Source organism: Homo sapiens, chromosome 1 (genome assembly GCF_000001405.40).
Source record: "Homo sapiens chromosome 1, GRCh38.p14 Primary Assembly".
NCBI classification, from domain to species: Eukaryota; Metazoa; Chordata; class Mammalia; order Primates; family Hominidae; genus Homo; species Homo sapiens.
In genome coordinates, this window is record NC_000001.11 from 39764436 (window position 1) to 39787255 (window position 22820).

Sequence of the window (22820 nt, forward strand, 5' to 3'; positions counted from 1 at the left end):
CAGGCCTCCGGAGTGCCGGTCACCAGGGTGCATCAGGGCCAAGATGGTGTCAGGAAAGGTGGCTGGAGAGTGGCCGTCAGCTTGAACCGACCTGAGCCTGAGGGCTCTGGGCCACCACTTGGTTCTCGCCCTGCCTCTCTCAGCCAGAAGCCCACAGGGCCTCGGCCCCAGCCTGCCCGACCCTCACCAAAGATCCCTGGGAGTCGGTTGGCCTGCGGCAGCTCGTTGCTTTTCTTCGGCTGCCTCCTCCTCAGTGGCCTCACTGCCCGAGGGGTGCGGATGGGACTCGGACTGGCCCTGAAGAAAGTGACCACGAAAGGCTGTTGGGAGCGTGGGGCCCGTTGACCCAGCAGGCCGGCCAGGCCAGGATCCACGCTGTGCCCTGAGACAGAAAGGAGAGAGGGGTCACTCACGGGCAGTGGCCCTGCAGCAGACACAGCAGCGGTCTCTCTGCCGGGGCCTGGGCAGGTCCAGGAGCGTGGAGGCTGAGGACCCAAGGGGTCCTGCTGAGCCTCAGTTTCCACATCTGAAGCCTGGAGTCCTTGGTCCAGCCCCAGCCAGTCCACGTCTCTCCTGGGGACAGATTTGGAGGAGGTGGGAGGGGGTGCTCAGTGAGCTGCAGGCGGTGTTATTAGTGACAGCTGCGTCACAAATAATAACATTTGTGAAGTGTTTTACAAGTTGGAAGATTTTTCCCATGGATCACCTCATTGGGTCCTTACAGTGACCCTGCAGCTCCTACTTCACAGGAGACCCAGAGTCCTACTGCCAGTGACTCCGAGAACCAGCGCTCCCACCTTGGTCCAAGGACCCCGAGACCTGTGTTCTGTCTTCCGTCCCGCACTTTCTGGGGTGTGAATGTCAAACTTATCACCGAGACAGCTCGTGGTAGCATCTGCCAGGTTGAGCGAGTGCTTGTTCTGCTGGGCACAGCCCAAGAGCAGGGCATTAACTGTCTCCCTGATGCCCACAAGGGAGATGCCAGGCAGAGCAGAAACATTGAACCAAGTCCCAGAGCCCAGGTTGCAGCCTGCGGCAGTCTCATTCCAGAGCCCGAGTTCTTATGCACGAGCTGGGCTTATGGACAGAAAAGAAAGAAAGAAAAGGCTGAAACAGAGATCTGACTTGGGCCTCAGCCCCAGGAGGAGTGAAGCCTGTAAACGGGATTGTCCCCCACAGCCGCTTCCAGACTGAGGATGCCGCTGAAAACATGATAACTAACCCTGGAGATGCCAAGCCTCACCAATAAAACTGTGTATCATCCTGTACTTGTTTGGATTTCAATAACCTTTCTATTGTAAAAGCAATTAAGTAAAGAAACTTTTGAGGCCAGGCAAGGTGGCTCACGCTTGTAATCCCAGCACTTTGGGAGGCCGAGGTGGGAGGATTGCTTGAACCTAGGCATTTGAGACCAGCCTGGGCAACATAGTGAGACCCTGTCTCAACAAAAAAATAAAAACAAAAATGAGCTGGGCATGGTGGTGAACTTCCCGGGAAGCTGAGGTGGGAGGACTGCTTGAGCCTGGGAGGTTGAGGCTGCAGTGAGGTGTGATTGTGTCACCACACTCCAGCTGGGCGACAGAATGAGAGTGTGTTTCAAGAAAAAAAAAACAAAACACAAAACTTTTTCTGGTTGTTTAAATAAGTCTCCACAATAAACATTTCAAATTTATAAAATCCCTTGGAGCAGTATACCGTAATTGACTTGATATTGGCTCATCATAGACATGTAGGTTATTTCCCGGCTTTCATGATAAAGATGGGAGTGCAATGGAGCCTCTTCACTCCGTGCATGGGTGAAATTTCCTGATACTGAATGGCAGAAGCATGATTACCAGCTCATTTTCATGTCTCTTTAAACAGTGCCAGTTGTTCAGTTTACACGAAAGTACATTTCACCTCCATGTTATAAGCACAGATGTACACACGTATGTACACACAGGCATATGTTTGCATAAACACACAGATGCACATACGCTCAGACAGACATCACACACACAGATGTATTTATTCCTACGTAGTTCTCCAGTACACCCTACAGGCCAAGGACACTGCCTGCCCCACCCTCAGTCCCACTCAAAGGTCAGCCCTTAAGCAGCTGTGCCTCAGCCCTGGTGTCCCTTGGCCACTTGACTGAACAACCAGTGAATCCAGAGACCAACCTTTGACCCGTGACATCATCCGCCACAAACAAATGCACTGGCAGGAGAGGCTCCCTCCCTCTCACGAGCATGGACAAGAGCTGCTGAGACAGGGAGGCTGTGAGCTGCAGATGCTAACATGGGAAGGAGGCCCAGAGAGAATCCACTGGGCAGGGCTTGGTTCACGGTGAGTCAAGGTTATGGGGAAGCAGCAGAAATACAAGGAACAGAGCTGGGGCACAGAGGAAAAGACAAGTGAGGTCACAACGGAGAGAGAACAGAGCAGCCTGAGTGGGGTGGTGGTGGTCACCAGCCCGGGCACTGGAGTGTCACTCTGCAGACTGGCTGACCCATGGGGACAGCCTGGGGCCCAGGGCAGCCCTCCTGGCTCCACTTGCAGCTCTGTCCTGTGACTCCCTGGGGAGCCCTGCCTGCCATGGGGCCTGAGAGGCCATCAGTCCTGCAGGCTTTCCTCACTATTTGCTTCTGTGCAGCTGTGTTCAAGGGTCTTATGGGGGGTCTCCCAGACACAGGATAGAATGTCGCATTAGATCAGTTACACCACAGACCCTCACAGAGCCCCTCTGAGCCAGGCCTGGCTTGGGTGCTGGGAACCCCTCTGTAGGTCTCACAGGCCAGGCGAGCCTGACTAGGGAACCTTGGAAGCAGCTAATCCCAGGTTCCCATTTTACAGAAGCAGAAACTAAGGCCCAGAGAGAGCAGCAACTGTCCAAGGTCCCAGAGCAAGGTGGGTCGGAGCCAGGATTGTCATATACTTTTCCAGCAAACTGCAGGGCCCAGCTGGATGTGGCTGGGCAAGATGGGGGGTGATGAAGGGGACTAACAGTGGGTCTGGGTTCAGAGCCCTGCATCTGGCAGGCCTGGAGAAGCTCCCCCATCCCCAGCCCTCTCCTTCCAGAGCCCAGAGCCTCCCTTCTCCATCAGCTCTGCTTCTTACCCACCCATTCTTAGGCAGGACTCCCTGGCTCCAGCTGGCTGCAGGGAAGGCCAAGCAGTCAAGGTGGGGGGCTCTCAGGCTGCCCAGCTGTGGGCAGGCCCCTTCCAGAAAGGTGGAGTTGGAGGCCCAGAGGGTCACTTGTCCGCTTCTAGATACCTCAGCCTTTTCCACACTGCTCCTGGGAAACTGACGCCCAGGGCAAATCAGGTGCCCCTCTCCAGGAGCCCCAAAAGGCACCCCACTGCCCACTAGATGACATTTCATTTCAAGCCCCCAACCCCAGCCATAGTCCCTGGCCCCTTTTCCACACCCCCAGTCTGTGCCCTCCATGAGCGCCAACTCTCCCTGCCCTGCTCTCCTTCCCAGGATCTGGCCTTTCCTGCAGGGTGAGGCTCCAATGGGCCCCTGGAAAGTCTGTCCTTGACCAGTGAGAACTTACTACTCTGACCACATGCCCCCAATGGCCTGGGAACCCCCAGAGCTACACTTATGCAGTGCATGCACCAGGCCAGGCTTGGTTGTCAACAGCACGTGTGCACGCGTGCATGCACACACACACACACACACAATCTTAATTTTAGTTTTTGAGACTATAGATTCAGGAGGAAATGCCTCACAGCCTCTTGGGTTACAACGGACCATCACACAAGTGGCCAGTTTGGGCCTCCATCCCAGAGAGGAGGGCCTAAGTGTCTGGTGTGAATGATGCAGGAACAATTCAAATGAAGCTGAGAAAACTCATCTAGTCCCTTGGTTAGGGTTCTAGAACTCCTCCTGTCCTAGGCTGTAGCCTTTGGCCACACACAGAGGAAGCTTCCTGGTGGATTTCAGCACCGGCAGCCTCTCCCCTCTCAGTCTCTCCCATCACCCGGTCCCTTCCCTTGGAGATGGTCCTGCTTTCCTTCTACGGACATCTAGAAGCTTAACATCTCATAGGTCCCAGGAGGAGAGATGTGGGAGGAGGAGGGGAGGCTTCAGGGAAACAAAATTTAACAACAAAGGCCCCAGAAGAAATACCAGATAACGGATAAAAACGTTCAAGAAGGCTGGGTGCAATGGCTCAAGCCTGTACTTTGGGAGGCCAAGGCAGGTGGATCACCTGAGGCCCAGAGTTTGAGACCAGCCTGGCCAATATGGAGAAACCCTATCTCTACTGTTAAAAATATATATACAAAAATTAGCTAGGCATGGTGGCACATGCCTGTAATCCCAGCTACTTGAGAGGCTGAGACATGAGAATTGCTTGAACCCAGGAAGCAGGGGTTGCAGTGAGCTGAGACTGGACCACTGTACTCTAGCCTAGGTAACAGAGCGAGATTCTGTCTAAAAAAGAAAAAAAATTACAGTAAGCTAAGGTTAATTGGCCCAACTCAGTGGCTCATGTCTGTAATCCCAGCACTTTGGGAGGCTGAGGCAAGTGGATCGCTTGAGCTCAAGTGTCCAAGACCAGCCTGGGCAACATGGTGAAACTCCATTTCTATAAATAAATTTAAAAAATAAAAAAAAATAAGCAGGCATTGTGATGTGCGCCTGTAGTCCCAGCTACTCAGGAGGCTGAATTAGGATTGCTTGAGCCCAGGAGGCAGAGGTTGCAGTGAGATCACTGCATTCCATTGCATTCCAGCCTGAGCGACAGAGCCAGACCCTGCCTCAAAAAAAAGAAAAAAGAAAGAGAAGGAAAAAGAAAAAACAAGCTCGTGAAGATAGCATGTCTTCCAATCACAAACTCACATCTTTGCTCGCCTATTTCTCACTGCAGTAGTAAAATGTCCCTTCAGGTGTACTCTGGGTTGAGTGATTTTCTCCCTCGTCAGTTTTTATCTCCATTTCATGGTTCAAGTACGAGGGAGGCGCTTGAATCAAATCTTGCTGTGAATGCACTGAGCTGTGCACGCTCTGTGTAAACATCACAGAGCAAAGCGGACATCCATTCCTCACCACTGCAGACCTGCGCCTTGCAGTGCTCGAGAAACACAGTGAGGAACTGATCTGTTTTCCTGTTGTTTTTAATTAAAGTCGCAGCTCTCTAGAGGAGCACTGTCCACCTAGGGAGGAAAGTAGGAGGCCAGTAGCAAACCCCTCCCAGAGCTGGGGACATGTATTCCCCTGGGGAACCCGGTGGCACCCGCCCTGAGGAGCGCACCACCCCGCCCAGATCCAGGTCCCGTCAGGGTGCCACCTGCTGCATGGGCCTGAGGTTCGGGGACACAGCAAAGGCACACCCCGTGCTCTTTTTGATGTCGTCCACCGTCAGGCCCTCCCAGAGCTCCCTCAGCGTCAGCTCTTTCTTCCTGTGCACGTCAAACACGGCCTTCTCGGTGATGATGCGGTCCACGCACCGCTTCCCGGTCAGCGGCATGGTGCATTTCTCCATGATCTTGGGGGTGTTGTCCTTTGTGCAGTGCTGCATGGTGACCACCACTCTGGTCTTCTGACTGGACACCAAGTCCATGGCACCGCCCATGCCTTTCACCTTCTTGCCAGGGATCATCCAGTTCGCCAGGTCGCCGTATTTGGAAACCTGCATGGCTCCAAGCATGGTTAGTTGGATGTGTCCCCCTCGGATCATGGCGAAGGAGTCGTCGCTGGCGAAGAAGCAGCCCCCGGGAAGCACCGTGACCGTCTGCTTGCCTGCATTGATGAGGTCGGCATCCACCTCATCTTCCGTGGGAAACGGGCCCAGGCCCAGGATCCCGTTCTCACTGTGAAGATGGACAGTCATGCTGGGACTGATGAAGTTGCTGGCCAGCAGGGGGATGCCTATGCCCAGATTGGCGTACATGCCGTCCTCAAATTCCAGAGCTGCGCGTCTGATGATGCGCGTCCTGGCGTCCTCTTCCTTTCCAGCGTCTCCATCTTCCTCTTTCAGGATCGTTAAGCGCTCAATTCGTTTCTCGTATTTCTGCCCCTTTATCACGCGATCTACATAAATGTTAGGAACGTGGATGTCTTCTGGGGGGAAAGCCCCCACCTCCACGATCTCTTCCACCTCCACCGCCGTGACGTCTGCAGCTTTGCACATGGGCACGTTGAAATTGCGGGCGCTTCTCCTGAAGACCACGTTTCCTGCCCGGTCGGCCTTCCACCCTTTCACCAGGGCGAAGTCTGCCCGGATGGCGCGCTCCAAAAGGAAGTGGTCGCCGTTGAACTCCCTCACCTCTCGGGGCTGGCTCATGAGCGCCAGGTGGCCGTCCGGGGTGTAGCGGATGGGGGCGCCCCCTTCCTGGACCAGGGTCCCGTAGCCCGTGGGGGTGTAGAAGGCGGGCACCCCGGCGCCCCCCGCGCGGATGCGCTCGGCCAGGGTGCCCTGGGGCGTGAGCTCCAGCTCCAGCTCTCCTGCCAGGTACTGGCTCTCGCACAGGGTGTTCTCGCCCACGTAGGAACAGACGATGCGACGGACCTGCCTGGCGGCCAGCAGGAGGCCCAGGCCGAAGTCCTCCACGCCCACGTTGCTGCTGACCACCTGCAGGTCTTTCACGCGGGTCCTGAGCAGCGCGGCGATCAGGTTCTCGGGGATCCCGCAGAGCCCGAAGCCCCCGATCATGACGGTCGCCCCGTCAGAGATGTCCTTCACCATCTCCACCGGGTCCGCGTAGAACTTGGCACGGAGCCGGGGACTGGTGGCAAAGCAGCGGGCGCAGCCCTGGGACAGCGCGAGCCCTGAGCCGCCGGCGGGGACCCCGCGCCCGAGCACTGACGCCAGGAGCCGCAGCGCCGCCATAGTCGGCCCGGGTCGGAGGCCAGGACAGGTGGTGTGAGCCCTGCGTGCGCCTCGGGCCGCGCGTCACAGAGCAGGGCGGGCGCCCGCGCCCTGACGCACTCCCTCCCAGCAGGTCTCCCCGGCCAGGCGCAGGCTCTAGGCTAGGCCCGCGACCCGCAACAGGGAGGGGGCCGGCTCCGCCCTGGGCTGGGGGCCCCCGAGTCAGTCCTCCGTGTCCAGCGCACAGGCCCGGGCGCAGGACAGAGCTGAGGTCAGGCTCCGCGAGAAGGGCACAGGCTAGGTCCCCTCCTGCCCCAGTGGAGCCTCAGACACAAACTCCAACCACCCCGCCCAAGCTTCCCCCCAGCTTCCCCAGCTCATTAAAGACACCAAGTGTCCAATGAGCAGGCGCCGCTGGGTGACACCGACGCTCATGAACACCTTCACTGGGCATCACTCTGTGCCAAGCACCCTCCTTTAATCCTGTGACAACCCGGAGAGTGAGTGCCTGCCCCACTACAGCCTCCCAGAGCTCAGGTTCACCCCTCACTGCGACAGTGGGGACAGTATCCCTCACCTCCATCAGGAAGGGTCCCTGCTCTGAAGAGGCCCCCCGTCTTGTCCTCTGCATCCCCCCGCCCTCTCCACCTCCCCCACTCCAGCTCCCTGCTCCAACTTGTGCGGAATTTTGCAGTTTTCTTCCCTCTGCACAGAATCACTGCATCACCACAGCAGCGTGCAGGCGTCTCCTCACCTGGAAAGGACCTGCCTTGTCCCGGGTTCTCTCCAGCCCCAGCCCATGTCTCTGCTCCCCTTCCCCAGCAAAGGTTCTGGAAAGAGCTGTCTCCTGCCTCCACTGCCTGTCTCCCTCCACCTCCTCAGTCAGACCCACACTCCACGGATATTTAGGTCATCAACAACCTCTGTGATGGCAAAACCCTTGGTCACTTCTCTGTTCTTGCCTTCAGTGCCCACAGCAGGACACAAATGACAAACCCTTGCTTCTGGAAACACTTTACTCTGGCGTCTAGATCACCTCATCCTCCAGGTGTCCTGCTCCCTCCCTGGCTGGTCTCTGTGGGCTCTCTGTGGCCCCTCCTTGTGAGGTCTCTGGATGTTGGAGGTCCCAGGGCTCTGGGCCAGGCCCTCTTTCTTCTCCATCACTACCCTCCTTCCCTAGATGACCTGGTCCCATCCCATGCTTTAAATCCACTTACATGCCAGCACCTCCCTCGCCTGGGTCTTCACACTCACCGGTCCCTGTAATGGCATTTCCATGAGGACCAGTGATCTCAGTAACATCCCAGGGGGGTCAGTAATATTCCAGCCAAAAGAGAACCCTTGGCCACCCACCTCAAACCTGCCCTTCATCTATCTTTTCCCCAAAAAGAAAAATCTATTGAAAAAAATCCACTGGCTCCAACCACACATCATTCAGGCTTCCTCCTGTTCCCTCACCTCCTCGCCAGCTATAAGCATGTCCTGACACTGAAATCGACTCATCTTTCTCCATCTCCACTGCTACCAACAAGTCGCTCACAGCGCCCACCTGGACCACTGTGGGGCCCCCACACGTCTCTCTGACTTCACTCTTGTCCATCTCAGTCTGCTCTCTCCACTGAAGTCAGGGGGTTCTTTATTTTATGCATATATTAAGTTTTAATTTTACAACAGTTGATAGTTACATAAAACTTTGTAAAGATAGTACAGAGGCTAAGGTGGGAGGATCGCTCGCGCCCAGGAGTTGGAGGTTACCGTCAGCTGTGATTGCGCCACTGCACTCCAGCCTGAGCAACAGAGCCAAACCCTGTCTCAAAGAAAAAAAAACTACACAAGGAGTTCCCATACACCTGGACCCAGTTTCCTCTGGGAAATGCTAATATTTTACACTAGCAGGGTACCTTTCTCATAACTAATGAACCAATACTGATACCTTATTATTAAGTAAACACCATGATCGATCTGGATTTCATAACTTCTCCCTAATGACCTTTTGCTGGTCCAGGACTCAACCCAGGACCCCACATGCACTGAGCTGGTCTTCTTAGGTGCCTCTGGGCTCCTCCAATTTCCCAACCTTCCCTTTTTTTTGATGAGCTTGGCGGTTTTGAGAAGCGCTTGTCAGGTATTCTGCGGAAAGCCCTTCTCTTTGGGTTTGTTTGACGGTTTTCTCGTGGCTGGACTGGGGTTTTGGGTTCACGGAGGGGGCCCTCTGAGGCTCAGTGGCCTTCTCCTTCCCTTTCACCCAGGGCACATGCTAGCACCGTGCCGGTCACTGCAGTGAGCCTTCCTCACCTGGCTGAGGCGCTGCGCGTCAGGTCCCCCACGCCCTGTCCACACCGCACTTTCGGGAAGCAAGTCACTGGGTGCAGCCCACGGAAGGGGTGGGGAGCTCTGCTCCACCCCGAGAGGGGGGCATCTCAGAGGGTTCTCTTTTAAAACCTGAATCAGATCCTGTCGTCCTCCACTGCTAGTAAATAAAATAAATGACGCTAAGAACCCCAGCACCTGGCCCTGGTTTACTCTGACTCAGAATGGCCCCTGGGTCCCCCGCCCTCACCGCTGCTCCATGGCGCCCCCTTGCCGGGCCTCAAACACACCCATCTCGTGCCCACTTTGGCCTCTGTATTCCTACTGCCTGGCATAAAAGAGGCTCTCCCCAGTGTCACCTGTGGAATGAACAAGGGCGTGAATCCCCATCCTGCGGAAGAGAAGACGGGGTCTGGAAAGGTAAGTCCCAGCCAAGGTCACTGAGGCAGGGCACTGCCAAGCTGGGCTTCAAACCCAGCCTCCTGGCCTCAGTGCCTGAGGGTACAGCCACTTCCCCTCCTTCCCTTCCCAGGACAGAAACTCCCAAGGTGGAGGCTGCTCCGTGGGAAGAGCCGCCTGCTTCCTGGGAAGCAGAGGGAGAGGAGGGAGCACCCCCACTAGGCCAGACCTCGTGCCCTGGACCTCAGTGACCCTTGCAGCGGGCACAGCTGGTGAGGCCGGGCACCCAGGGCCACAGGAAGCCACTACCGCTGCCTGTGCTGGCACAGAGAAGCCCCAGGGGCTGCAGAGCCCCCAGCCTCACCGTCCTCAGTCTCCACATAGAGGCGGAGTCCCAGGTCCTTGTGACGCTTCAGCAACCAGCAGTCACTGGCTGCTGTGACATCCAGCACCAGCCAGCCCTCGTCTCCAGCTCGGAGCGTCTGAAGATCCAAAAAGAACAAGTCAGACTCCCTGTGGACATGAAAGAACAATTAACCGGCGGCCGGCACAGCTGCCTCCGTGTCTCCAGGGCCCGCTGGGGGCTGTCACCGGAGTGTCTCCCACCTGACTCTGGCTGCGCCCCTTCTGAGCCTCATCTCATTGCCTCAGCCCACAGAGGTGTACACATGGGGAAACTGAGTCTCAGTGACCTGTCCAAGTCCCCACAGCCAGGATGGCAGGGCAGGGACTTGAAGTCAGGATTGTCACTGGGGCTCTTCCCACAGTGCAGGGGCCTCGGGCCAAGCATCCTTCCCATCTTTGAGGCTCTCTTTCAGCCCACCACGACTCCCTGCTGGGCTGCCTTGACCATGAGACTGTGAGGTGGGGGGTTAGGTGGGGCACCCGGGCCAAGGGGAAGGCACCTGTTGGACTGCTCCTGGACCACCTGGAACATGCTGACGTGGAGGGTCCTGTTGAGCAGGTGGATGCTGGGCACCTTGTAAATCCGGAACTCCGCAGCTGTGACCGCCTCCCCAGCCGGGATCTGGGTCAGGTCAAAGCGGAACTCCTTCCAATGGGGCTCCTGGTGGCCCAGGGCACGGTCTCGCTCCACTAGAAGACAAAGCAGCGCTGGGCTGGCACTCAGAATGGCTCGGGCTCTGGAGGGGGCAGAGCTGGTGTGAGCCACCGCCCCCAGCCACCCACCACTCAAGGTGGAGCGGACCCAGGGAGGCCTGGGTGGGGCCGGCTTCATTTAGTGCAAACGTTTGTTCCAGGCTTGGTCCCGGGGTGTAGACAGGGCCAAGAGGCCCTGCAGCCAGGCTCACCCTGAGCCCCGCAGCTGGCTGGTGCTCAGCAGGCCCCAGGCTCCAAACCCTGAACTCCCGTTGCGCCCCCTTCTCGGCCCGGCTGGTCCTGGGACTCAGAGATGAGACAGAGGAGGGAGCCTCCTCTGGGAACTTCCAGGCTAAAGGGAAGATGGACATTGGACCCAAGGCAGAAAAGGGCCCCAGCCCTGCAGGGAAACCTGGTAGACAGGAACATAACCGACATAACTGACGGCATCTCAGGGGACACAAGGCATCCAGAGCCTGCCCACTGCCTGGATGGGAGGTGCGGCAGGGGAGGGCTCAGGGCTGACAGCTGAGCTGGGCTGAGGCATGAGTGCGAATCTGCCATGGTGTCAGGGAGACGGGCCCTGCAGGGGCCGGCCAGCCAAGGCAGAGGGCCAGAGCAGAGGGGTCTGAGGGCAGGGCAGGGAAAGCAAGCACCAGGAAACAGCAGAGGGCAGGAGACCCACGTTTCCTTTCTGGAACAAGCTGGAAGAGGAAGGAGGGAAACGTGGAAAGGAACAAGAAAAACCAGGGCAGGAGTGACAACTCCCAGAGAGGCCAGTCAGGTGCTGGGGAAGTCGGAGGGTCTCACTGGGTGATGGGATCTGAGCAGGTGGCATCTGAACTGGCTTTGAAGGGTGGGATGGGTCTTGGTAGGTGGAGAAGGTGGCAGGGAGGGTGCTCTAGGGAGAGGGGACCTCGCATGCACAGGGTGGAGGCGCCCACAGGTCAGCGATGTTGGGGACGGCACATGAGCTCTGCTGCGGCCTGCCTGCTGAGGGTGCGAATCCCGGGCCAGGAGCCTGGGCTGCGCCTCTGGCCAGTGGGAAGCACAGGGGACGGGGGCAGCAGGGAGGCGGCGTGGGTGGAGGGGAATTAGAAGACACAGTGGAGGTGAGGGTAGAGGCCAGGCTGGAAGTGAGATGGGCAGCAGGGCCCCGTGGCAGGGGCTGGCCTGCCAATCAAACAAAGGCTGTAGTTGCGGAATAAAGCCCACATTTCCCCAGGTGTCCGGAAATACCCAGGACGCTATATTTAGGGCAGTCTCACTTTAGCCTCCCATCCGTTTCAAACTCTAGAAATCTGTGTTTCCAGAAAGCAGGGGTGGGAGCCGCCCAGTGCCTTCCCCAAAACCCAGCACTGAGATTTCAATGATATGTTTGTGAGTCTTTTTAAAAATTCTCTGTGGTTACTGGGCTCAGTGACCACGGTCAGGTTTGTAAAAGCACCAGGCTGTGCGGGCCGAGGCGGATGTGGGGAGCACTTCCTGTCCTCGTGGTGGGGACCTGGTCCGGCCATGGGCAGGCGAACAGCTGTGCGGGGCAGGGGATGGGGCCAGACGTGTGTGGGCAGGAGGAGGTGGCCGCTCATCCCAGCCCAGGGCGGAGAAGGAAAGAACGTGCCTTGTCCCACAGCACCCAAGGGTGTCTTTTGAAGTCTTACTTTTTGGTCAGAAATAATACTTTGAATTAAGTTTTTCTAAATAAATGTATTCTTTCACTCATCTAATAAGATCATCATGTTTAATTTAGAAATAAATTTATTCAGTTCTTACTGTGTGTACAACACTGTTCTGGGCAATACAACAATAAACAAGATACTTTTTCCACACACAGGGAGTTTACGGTCCAACGGAAGACATAAAATGCAAACAAAAAGCAACTAAAATATGGGATGTCATTTCTATTGTTCTACTGTAAATGCTATGAAGGAAACAGAAAAGGTTATGGGCTCAAGAGTAATGGGTGCTTTTCATAGGGTGCTCCGTATGGCCTTTGAGAAAGAAAAAGATTAAGATCAGACATGAACATTCTCTCAGGCGTTGCTGATAGGAATGCTGTGTAGAGGAGGAATTTAGCAATACCTAGCAAAATTACATTTGACACAAGAATTCCAAAGATGTATTGGCAAAAATATGAAAAGACATATGCAGAGAGCAATTCGTTGGTCACAGGAAACAGACCAAGCTATACCTGGTTCCATAAGCACCTCTAAATATTTATTTTCTACAAAATCATAAAAGCTGCCCCAAATGGTCTCACGCTGAACCAGCTTCTGTCTGGGGAAGCAGCAAATGAATTTGCTTTCTAAACCACCTTAATGTGGCTCCTGGGAAAATAAACAATCATGAATCACCAACCTGTGCTGATGGAAACCCTCAGCCTCCTCCTCCAGCCTTGGATAAAGCAAACTTCGGAAGCAACCCCACGCTTCCAGGAAAGGCCCTGTGGGCAGAAGTTGGCTTCCGCTGGCCACATCTGGGGCCCTGTGCCTGCCACTCCAGGCTAGGCTTCCAGATGCCAAACTCTGCGACCCTCAGCCCAACATCAACAAGGGCTCTGGCTATTTTTGTGCTCTGGGCAATTTAGTCTCACCCAGACAACCTAAATCTGTCTTATTTCTGACCAAAAAGTGGGACTTCAAAAGACACCCTCATCCTCCAGCTCAGAGCAGAATCTTGTGGCCTGTGACCCATCCCACCTCCCCTCAGACCCTCCCCAGCCCTGAAAGGCCCACAGGAAGAGTGTCCCAGGGCCCTCCCTTCGCTGGCCCTGCCATCTGTCCCTCCGGCCTCTTGTGCCTTCTACCTGCAGACGCCTCCCGCAGAGTCCCTCCTGGAAGCTGCTCTCCCCGGGTGGCCCCGTCCCTCTCAGTCCGACTGAGAAGGCTCCCAGTCCTCAGACCCCAGGCAGGTCAGGCTTTCAGCCTCTCCCGGCCCCCATGCCAGGGCTTGCTGTCTCTGGTTCAGCTGTTCCTCTGGACAGCGAGCCCTTGGAGGGCCGGGACGGAGCCACGTGGGTGGACATGGGAGGCTCGCACGTCAACTCATCGGCCCCTGTGTTTCGGGGCCCCAGAGCGGGGGTGCCCCGGCCCCTTCTTCCCAAGGGTCTCTTGTCCCCAGGACAGCGGCTCAGTGTCCGGAACTCAGAGCCCTTTGGGCTGGGTATCACTGCCAGTCTGGGTGTGGCTACCATGTCCCCATGTGACTCCATCAGAAGCCACCGACATTCCCGTTGCTGTGGACCTGCCTCCTCTCCCGGCCTGGCCCCTGAGGGTGGACAGCGGCTCCCCCAGAGCCCCGGGTGCATGGGCTGGGCCTGCCTGGCTGGTCCCACAGGCAGCAAAGGCGGTGGGGCAGGGGCACTTCAGACCCAAAAGAAGGCTTGGGCCCCACAGCCTCTGCAGGCCAAGGGAGGGCGGGACTCATGACCTGTTGGTTCTGCGTCCTGAAGGGGCTTCTCCCACCCAGAAATCTCAGCACCGCCTCAAGGCGAGCCCAGGGCTCCATGCTGAGGTATTTCCAGCCGGGTCTCATCACTGGCTTGCTTCAAGGGCTGTTTCCATAAATGGTGCTGCTCTCATAATTACCGGTCCAGGCCTCAGACAGTTCTGGACCCCAAATTAAAAGGGAACACCCACACATGCCTCCACATCAAGCCCGCCAAGGCCAAGAATAGATCCCAGGAGATGTAAGCAAGAAAGACGCAATTCCTCCAGTGAAATCCCGGGAAAGAATGAACTGTGGGAATTTTCCAGAAAGAAGTGGTCATGGTGACGCATCCTCTCTTGCCTATGGGAAAGAGGTTCCGGGAGGAGGGGGGCTGGGTGCACCTCCCCACCCTGTGCCTCAGCCCGGAAGAGCCCCCATCAGCAGGCAGGGGGTGGGCACATTCTTTGGTCAGACCTGGAAAGGCCTTCAGGCAACCCTGCAGAGATGGGGAAACTGAGGCCAAGGAGGGACAGAGGGTTTCCAGGGTTAGATTAGAGGCCCGTGTCAGATTAGAGGCCTGTGATGTGGATGTTCACACTTGGGGCCAGTGTGAAATGAGTGGCCCTGGAGTTCAATGGGACATATTGGGATGGGGGTCACCCGTCAACAAGGCCCTCCTATCAACAGACACCCGAGAATGCCCGTGAAGCCACCTTCCTCCAGGCAGGGCCCTGTGGGGACTTGGGGTTCCAGGGGAGGGCCCAGGGAGCTATGGCACCCATTGTCGGCCCGCACACAGACAGGGAGGGCCGGCCCTACTCTGTCCCACCTGACCAGACCCAGGCTCCTCCCTGCTCTTGGCACTCGCTGCCTCCTGCTGGGTTCCTCTTTCCCTCAATTTCCTGCCACTCAGGGGCTGGGTGCACCATGGGGGGTGCCAGGAAGAGTCACACTTGGTCCCTATTCTCAGGTTGTTCAGAGGTTGCTGGGGAGGAGGAGAAAGAGGGGCTAGGTGAGCCCCTGCATCACATAGACAGAAAGCGACTGGAATCCTAAGAGAAGTGCACACAATGCAGGACAGGTGCTTCAGTGACGGTCGCAGTCACATACAGGGCTTTGGAAGAAGGAGGCAGAGAAAACTTTCCTTGAAAACATATTCAAGAGGGGTGGAAGAACTGAGGAAGAGAACTGAAGAGTCACCCAGGGAAAGGCTGAGAGGCGGGAGATGCTGTGCCAGGTCACACTTTTTAAGCACTGACCTGTGTCAGGCACCATGCTGGGCACACGTGGTACGTCCTTTCTGTTCATGCTAACCTGACTGTGTTAGTTGTCTGTGGCTGTGTAACTCATTATGCAAATGTAGCAGTTTAAAACAACAAACACATATTGTTGCACATTGTTCTTAGGGCTAATAATCCAGGAACTTAGCTGGGTAGGTCTGGATCAGGGTCTCTTATGAGGTCACAGTCAAGCTGTCAGCTAGGGCTGCAGTCTCTGAAGACTTAGCTGGGGCTGACGGATCCACTTCCACGCGCTGTCTTTAGCTGCTCACCATGTGGCCCTCTCCATAGGGCTGCTCACCTCATGGCCTCCCCCAGAACGAGGCATCCGAGAGATGGAAGCCATGGTCTTTTATAGACTAATCCTGGCAGGGACCTATCACCACTAGTGTCATATTCTATTGGTCACACAGACCAGCACTGGCACAGTGTTGGAGGGGACACAGAACTCTGTGCATCTCAGGAAGTGGGACCATCGAGGGCCATGGTGAAGGCGGCACCATGACAACACTGTGGGGGACATTATTCATCCCAGGTTATAGATGAGAGCACTAAAGATCCCAGAAGTTAACTGATTTGCACAAGGCCACAACTGGAAGCATCCAAGGTGGGATTTGGGTCAAAGTCTGTCTGGACTCCAAAGTCTACATTCACTTCTCCTAATCCACGACCTCTCCAAGCTGCAGATATGTCAAGGGAGCACCAAGCGGTGCAGTTGACTAGAACGCTGAACTCTGAATGCCAGGCTGGGGAAACGTGAATTCCATTCTGGCTTGAAGGGACACACAGAAGCTCCTGAGCAGGAAAAGCCATGATGGGATTTTCACTTCAGGAACTGGCATTTCAAAAACATGCAAGAGGCCAGGCGCAGTGGCTCACGCCTGTCATCTCAGCACTTTGGGAGGCCAATGTGGATGGATGGCTTGAGCCCAGGAGCTGAAGACCAGCCTGGGCAACATCATGAGACCTCGTCTCTATAAAAAAATGTTTAAAAATTATCTGGGCATGGTGGTAGGCACCTGTACTTCCCAGCTACTTGGGAGGCTGAGGTGGGAGGATCACTTGAGTCTGGGAGGTTGAGGCTGCAGCAAGCTGTGATCGCGCCACTGCACTCCAGCCTGGGTGACACAGCGAGACCCCATCTCCAGCCGGGAGCCATGCCTCCTCTCCTTTGGCCTTGTTTGTCTCCCAGAAAACGAGAGAAGGATCTTGTCGGTCTTCTGAACTGTTGAACCCTCACACCCATGTTTGCCAGGTGGGTGAATGGACATTTCTTCCATTTGGGGATCATTTATATTGAGTTGTCTTTGGGCTTCTCTTTCTCAGTAAATGAGCAGACTTTGGGTTGGGCTGGGGCTATACTTTTATTAGCCCCCAAGATAAACAGGAAGAGGAACAGCACACAGTAGGTTTGCAGCAGTGCTTGCTAAGGAGTGTTCATAGACTGCTCTTAAAGCCCTGAATGAGTCAACTTTCTCCACACCCAGGTCTTGCAGCCATCAACTTCCCCAGAACCCTGATGTGTGCAGGGTCCAGGACTGTTCAGAAGGAACGGCTGCTACTCAAGATAGAGCCAGCAGTTAAAGGAAATCACCAACTTTTGCTTCTGGTCTTGCCACTAACCAGCTGGCCTTGGGCTAAAAACAAATAAAGCTGACATTTATTGAGCACTGACCAGCCACTCTTTTCATAATTTTACACAGATTAACTCATTTAATACTCCTAATCATCTAATGAGGTAGCTCTCCCATTTTACAGATGAGGAAACTGAGGCTCAGAGCATTAAATAAATTAGACCATAATCGTGTAAATTGTATCTTAGGTTAGGCTCTCTGGGCAACAGACACTGGGTCGGAAAGTTTACTGGGAAAACTGGAAAGTTTACTGCTTTTTGTAGTGAATGAAGGGAGCAAGTTTTGGATGCACCCACAACAAAGGCCTCAGACAACTGAGACCACACTGGGAGCTCTGGGGGCTGGTGGCCCTTTAGAGCTGTCTCTCTTTAAGGCAAGGGGGCTGGGCACTGGTACTGCCATAGACCAGCTGTTGGATGGTGGGTGTCCCCAGGGATGGTGCCTAACCTTGGGCAGTTCTTTAGGCCCAGTCAATCAATACCTAGAGAAGGGTAGGGCGTGGTGGCTCTCGCCTGTAATCCCAGCACTTTGGGAGGCTGAGGTGGGTGGATCACCTGAGGTCAGGAGTTCAGGATCAGCCTGACTAACATGATGAAACCCCATCTCTACTAAAAATACAAAATTAGCCGTGCGTGGTGGCGGGTGCCTGTAATCCCAGCTACTTGGGAGGGTGAGACAGAAGAATTGCTTGAACCCAAGGAGGTTGCAGTGAGCCAAGATCGCACCATTGCACTCCAGCATGGGTGACAAGAGCAAAACTCCATCTCAAAAAAAAAAAAAACAAAAAAAACCTAGAGAAGGACTCCCCTGTGAGCTGTCAGCAGCCGGCACTCCAGGCAGCTGGGTCACGAGCGACTCAATGCTGAAGAGAAGCTCTGGGAAGCCCCCCACAGCATCCACTACAAGGATGCCTAGGTGGAATGAGGATCTCACCCAGGCAGCCTGGTCAGATTCTGGAGCTATGCTTTTTACTACTCTGCTCTAGGTCCCTAAGTAAATGACTGGGGGATGGGGCATAATCCGCAGGCCCTTCCCTCATAATACAGCCACTTATTGAGCAGTGCCAGACACTTGCTTTGTTTTTGTTTTTGTTTTTTTTTGAGATGGCATTTCGCTCCTGTTGCTCAGGCTGGAGTGCAATGGCGCGATCTCGGCTCACTGCAACCTCCACCTCTTGGATTCAAGCAATTCTCCTGCCTCAGCCTCCCAAGTAGCTGGGATTACAGGCGCCTGCCACCACAGCCGGCTAATTTTTGTATTTTTAGTAGAGACGGGGTTTCACCATGTTGTCCAGGCTTGTCTTTAACTCCTGACCTCAGGTGATCCGCCCCCGCTTGGCCTCCCAAAGTGCTGGGATTACAGACGTGAGCTTCCGTGCCTGGCCAGACACTTGCTAGGTTTTTATGTGCCTTAACCTATTTAATCATTGTATTATGATACAGGCATTATTATTATTATTTAGACAGAGTCTTGCTCTGTCTCCCAGGCAACCTCCATCTCCCAGGTTCCAGCAATTCTCTCGCCTCAGCCGCCTGAGTAGTTAGGACTACAGTCCCGCGCCACCATGCCTGGCTAATTTTTTTTGCATTTTTAGTAGAGACAAGGTTTCACCATGTTGGCCAGGCTGGTCTTGAACTCCTGACCTCAAGTGATCCGCACACCACCACACCTGGCCGGATACAGGCATTATTATCCCAGTTTTAAAGATGAGGAAACTGAGATGCCGAGACTTTAAATGATCTGTTCAACAGCTCATAGCTCTTAAGCAGTAGACTCAGAATTGAAAGCCAGTGAGCCCCACTCCAGGGTCACTAACCACCACTCTGCTGCCCCACTTCCAGGGCCTACCCTCCTACAGCTGTGATCTACCTTTCATATCTGCTCCTGTGGGTCTGTGCATCCAGGACCCGGGGCCAGTCACTTACACTCTTTGAGACTCAGCTTCCTCCTCTGTGAATGAGGGCAGTCATAATCATTTACTCAGGGGTGAGAAAACACTGCGGAAATGGGTAGGACCAGTCACTAGGGATGGAAAGGGTGCACCATTCTGGTGGCCAGACAGAACTTTGGGGAAAAGGGACCCACCTTCAATTATTGCAAGGACAAATACCTTTGGGCATACAGTCACCCTAATAGTTGACTTTTAAGATGGATAAAAGATTTATTGTTAAATGAAAAACAACAAAGTTGCAAAACAGTGAGCATTAACGTATGCAGTTAAAAAAAAGAAAGAAAAGAAAACGCTGGGCACAGTGGTTCATGCCTGTAATCCCAGCACTTTGGGAGGCTGAGGCAGGAGGATCAGATGAGGCCAGGAGTTTGAGACCAGCCTGGGCAATATAATGAGATCCCGCCTCTACAAAAGATTTGAAGCAATTAGTTGGACATGGTGGTGCACACCTGTAGTTCTAGCCATTCAGGAGGCTGAGGTGAGAACATTGCTTGAGGCCAGGAGTTTGCAGTTGCAGTGAGCTATGACCATGCCACTGCATTCCAGTCTGGGTGAAAGAGCAAGACCCTGTCTCTGAAAATAAAAACATATTTTTTAAGCAGTAGTCTCAGTTTACATCACACGTTCCCATTCAACACAGTCCATTTCAGCAGCACACACTGCATTTAACGGTGGGCCAGGCCCTGGGCTGTGTGGAGAGGCAGCTGCTATTTTGGAGAAGAGCAGAAGATGTGGAGGCAGGGGGACAATCTGCTGTGTGGCCTTAGGAAAACCACCTATCTGCTCTGAGCCTCTCTCTCCTCTCTTTCAAACACAGATGTGACGGCAATTGTGAGATACCAATGAAGGAAGAGATGCAGAGGTTCTGGGCACGTGGGCATCGCTGGGTATCATCTCACACAAGCCCACAACAGCCCCATAAGATGAGTATCTCCATTTTACAGAGGAGGAAACTGAGGCTTGGGGAGGTTGACTGGAAAGCCCAGATCACACTGAGATCAGGTGTTGGCGTCAGGATGCAAATTCCTTGTGTGTGGGTCTCAGGTCAGAAACCCCCAATCTAGCCCTGTCTGTCCTGCCATTGTTCAGCCCCTCCTGTTTCCCGATGGGGCGTTGCTGTCTAGCACACCCGACAATTACCTTTAGGGCTCATGTATGTATTATGTGTCTCTAGACTAGAAAGTCATCTCCCTGAGGGCAGGGACTTTACTTCTCTCATTGTTATATCCCCAGCAACTAGAACTCTGCCTGGTCCGTGGTAGGTGCTACAGAACTATTTGCTGAATGAATGAATGGGAAAATGAAAGAGGTCCCTGGTAAAGAACCAAAGGAAGTGGCCCTGGGGCCCACGGAGATGGTGCCACCCTTCTAGGTCACACGGCTGGCAAGGGCAGAGCAGGACCCGGGCCAGGTCCCGAATTCCCACTCAGTCCTGCTTCTCCCAAATCCAGACGGCTCTGTTCATCAACACCCCTGTCCATGGCCACCGGAGACCACAGGAGCAAATCTGTCTGGTTCAGGAAGGGATCAGGACAAAAATGAAGCTGCCTGCATTCTGATCCTGGCTGGACTTCTGCCTGCTAGGCCTGCTTATGCCTCAGTTTCTCAATCTGGAACATGGGCACCTGCCTCTCTGCTGAGATGGGTGGAGAAGGATTCAGAAGGAGTGTGCAGAGGTGGTCCTTCCTGCCATCCTTCCTCCCTCAGGAGGGGCCGGGCTGCCCTGAGGCACTGGGGCCAAGGCATGGCGGTGTTGTGAGAAGGCGCCTCTGCCACAGAGCCACAGGGTCAGGGCTGGGAGGCACCTTGCTTTTCTGATGCCATCACCGTAGAATGGACGAGAAAGCAGAGGCCCAGGGAAGGGAAGGGCCGTGGCTCAGGACATGCAGGAGTTAATGGTGGGCCCAGGCAGCACAAGAACCTGGGTCCTGCCTCCCAGCTCAGGGCTCTCCCCTCCCTGAGCACAGAGAGACCAGGGACAGAATCCAACCGCTCCATCACTGTCCTGCCCAAGAGAGCCCAGGTCTACAGGCTGATATGGATGACAGGCCAGGCAGGGCCCCGGCTCTGACCCCAGCCCTGGCCTCCCAGTGCAGGCTCTGAACATCAGGACGCAGGCTTGGCTTCCTAAAGCACCTGCTCTGCACGGAGACCTGAGCCATGGTGGGAGGCCTATGAGAGCCCCGCCCCCTGGGTCCCACAGGCTGCCATCAAGAGTTGGGCCCTACGGGCACCAGACCTGGCTATTCAGGAGTCAGATGAAGCTGATAGGAGAGGTGGAGCCGGCAGGAGCAGGTGTGGGAGCCTGCGTGTGGGCGGTGACACCACAGTGACCCTGCTATTAGATCCCGTGGTGGCCTCTGCCCACATGACTGTAATCTCAGCTACTCGGGAGGCTGAGGCAGGAGAAGGGCCACCAACCTCCAGGGGCCTCCAAACATGGAGAGCATCCTGGTATGTGTCTAATCCATGCCCCCCCACCGCCCCACCCAGCCTCAGTAATTACCAGTTAAAGCTACTCTAACTGAGAGAGTTCTACTAGTGCAGTTAGCACAGCAGAATAAAGAAGGCCTTTCTGACAGCTGGCTGCGCCCACCCACAGCCTGGGCTTCCACTAACAATGATCTGCTTGTTAATCTCGCAGCGCTGGAGGCCCCAAGTCTTCATGAAATGCACAAAGCTGGTGTGGGAAGAAGCTGGGATTTGAAATCCACAGCCGTGGATGTCACCCCGGATGTGCGGTGTGGCCCTGGGCTGGCTATTTAACCTCTCTGAGCCCATGAAACAGGGCTGGCAAAACAGTCTCACATGAGTTAAATGAGGAATTGTAAGGCTGTGAAAGTTCACATGCTACTTTTCATTCTAAAAACAGGTACAAACACTTTTTGATTGGCTTTTAGAATCCATTTCTAGGTTTTACATGTGTATAAGACATGTGGAGATGTTCCTGTCACCTCCGAACTAGGCCACAGCTGGGAGGGCCTGGGGCCAACAGTGCCCAGGTCCAGGTTCACCCTCTGAGGGGAGCAGCACAGGCTTTCTACTCCTGCCCCTCTACCAATCACACAACAACCCTGAGGACAGATCACCAGGCACCTCATTTTACAAGGAGCAACGAAGGCTGAGAGGGTGAGGAACTTTCCTAAGGTCACACAGAGGGGTAGGCCCTGCCCAATTCATAGCAATAGCCCCACCAGGCTGTGCATGCCTTGACCCAGGGGATGCCAGGGGAGGTCGGATGTGGGCTGGGTGGTGACGCATTCTGATGGGCGGCTCCCTGGGGACATTCTTGGACGACTCCATCCACAACTCTTCTTGGTCCTGAGCCCAGTGTCAGCCTGTCCTGATGACAGAGCCCCAGCCCCAGCTTCACAGATGGTCTCCTCTGTCCCACATCCCCACCCTGTCCTCTAACTACAAAGGCAGCATCCAGATCCCACCGGCTAGAGTCCTGTCCCTGGCACTGGGCGCTCAGTGATGGTGAATGGCTGCCTCCTGCTGCTCGCCTCCACCACCAGCTCTGGGTTGCGGGAAGCAGAGGCTTGGCCATGCCCTCTTCTGTCCTAGTGTAGGAAGCAAATGGCTGATGGCCCCACAAAACCTGCTGCGGCTCAGTCCCCTGTTTTCCTCAGCCCAGACTCCTCAGAAAGGTCTCTGCACCTTGAAAGCCTGACCTGACAACAGAAATGTCATCTCTTTGAGCCCTGGATGGACAGTCAGGCTTCCTGGGCCTGTCCTGGCTCAGCAGCGTAGAGGCTGCGCTGTCCTAGGCATGGCGCTGCCTCTCTGAGCCTCACTGTCCTCATCTGGGAGATGGGGATGAAGACCGTGGCTGTTATCAGGGTTGTCGGGAGGATGAAGAATTAATGATGCTGTCTGTGGAGGGAGGCTGATGGCCGGGGCCAGGGACCCTCTCCCTC

At 55.1% G+C, this 22820-nt stretch overlaps 2 protein-coding genes and 1 long non-coding RNA gene across 13 annotated transcripts in view, besides 5 other annotated features; 1 reads left to right on the forward strand and 2 right to left on the reverse strand.

Moving 5' to 3' along the window:
* BMP8B (bone morphogenetic protein 8b) overlaps positions 1 to 22820 on the reverse strand; it is a 31684-nt gene that overhangs the window by 7254 nt on the left and 1610 nt on the right. For 2 of the 11 annotated variants that reach the window (XM_011542024.3, XM_017002155.2), the window contains exons 2-5: positions 10414 to 10603; positions 9873 to 10021; positions 414 to 573; positions 188 to 297 (exon numbers count right to left, since the gene is read on the reverse strand). In XM_011542024.3, the coding sequence (XP_011540326.2) occupies positions 188 to 297; positions 414 to 573; positions 9873 to 10021; positions 10414 to 10603 (609 nt within the window). Of the gene's footprint in view, positions 1 to 187; positions 383 to 413; positions 574 to 8418; positions 9270 to 9359; positions 9469 to 9872; positions 10022 to 10413; positions 10604 to 15294; positions 15551 to 22820 lie in introns of those variants that run through there. The other 9 variants (NM_001720.5, XM_011542022.3, XR_946750.3 and 6 more) reach the window with 8 other exon arrangements.
* OXCT2 (3-oxoacid CoA-transferase 2) lies at positions 5088 to 6913 on the reverse strand. Its single transcript, NM_022120.2, has one exon. The coding sequence runs from the start codon at positions 6818 to 6820 to the stop codon at positions 5267 to 5269; it is 1554 nt and encodes a 517-aa protein (NP_071403.1). The 5' UTR covers positions 6821 to 6913; the 3' UTR covers positions 5088 to 5266.
* Positions 6286 to 6959: an enhancer, noted in NCBI's record as "H3K27ac-H3K4me1 hESC enhancer chr1:40236393-40237066 (GRCh37/hg19 assembly coordinates)". NCBI's record gives its function as "activates a minimal SCP1, AML or CMV promoter by ChIP-STARR-seq in naive H9 embryonic stem cells {active_cell/tissue: H9 hESC(naive)}" and the evidence as "EXISTENCE:reporter gene assay evidence [ECO:0000049][PMID:30033119]".
* Positions 6846 to 6945: a silencer, noted in NCBI's record as "silent region_712". NCBI's record gives its function as "represses an Ori minimal core promoter by ATAC-STARR-seq in GM12878 lymphoblastoid cells {active_cell/tissue: GM12878}" and the evidence as "EXISTENCE:reporter gene assay evidence [ECO:0000049][PMID:35858748]".
* Positions 6960 to 7632: an enhancer, noted in NCBI's record as "H3K4me1 hESC enhancer chr1:40237067-40237739 (GRCh37/hg19 assembly coordinates)". NCBI's record gives its function as "activates a minimal SCP1, AML or CMV promoter by ChIP-STARR-seq in naive H9 embryonic stem cells {active_cell/tissue: H9 hESC(naive)}" and the evidence as "EXISTENCE:reporter gene assay evidence [ECO:0000049][PMID:30033119]".
* Positions 12183 to 12242: an enhancer, noted in NCBI's record as "active region_817". NCBI's record gives its function as "activates an Ori minimal core promoter by ATAC-STARR-seq in GM12878 lymphoblastoid cells {active_cell/tissue: GM12878}" and the evidence as "EXISTENCE:reporter gene assay evidence [ECO:0000049][PMID:35858748]".
* Positions 14309 to 14809: an enhancer, noted in NCBI's record as "H3K4me1 hESC enhancer chr1:40244416-40244916 (GRCh37/hg19 assembly coordinates)". NCBI's record gives its function as "activates a minimal SCP1, AML or CMV promoter by ChIP-STARR-seq in primed H9 embryonic stem cells {active_cell/tissue: H9 hESC(primed)}" and the evidence as "EXISTENCE:reporter gene assay evidence [ECO:0000049][PMID:30033119]".
* On the forward strand, positions 15534 to 16989 carry BMP8B-AS1 (BMP8B antisense RNA 1). Its single transcript, XR_947220.3, has 2 exons — positions 15534 to 16570; positions 16803 to 16989. It is a non-coding gene; the product is annotated as a BMP8B antisense RNA 1 (long non-coding RNA).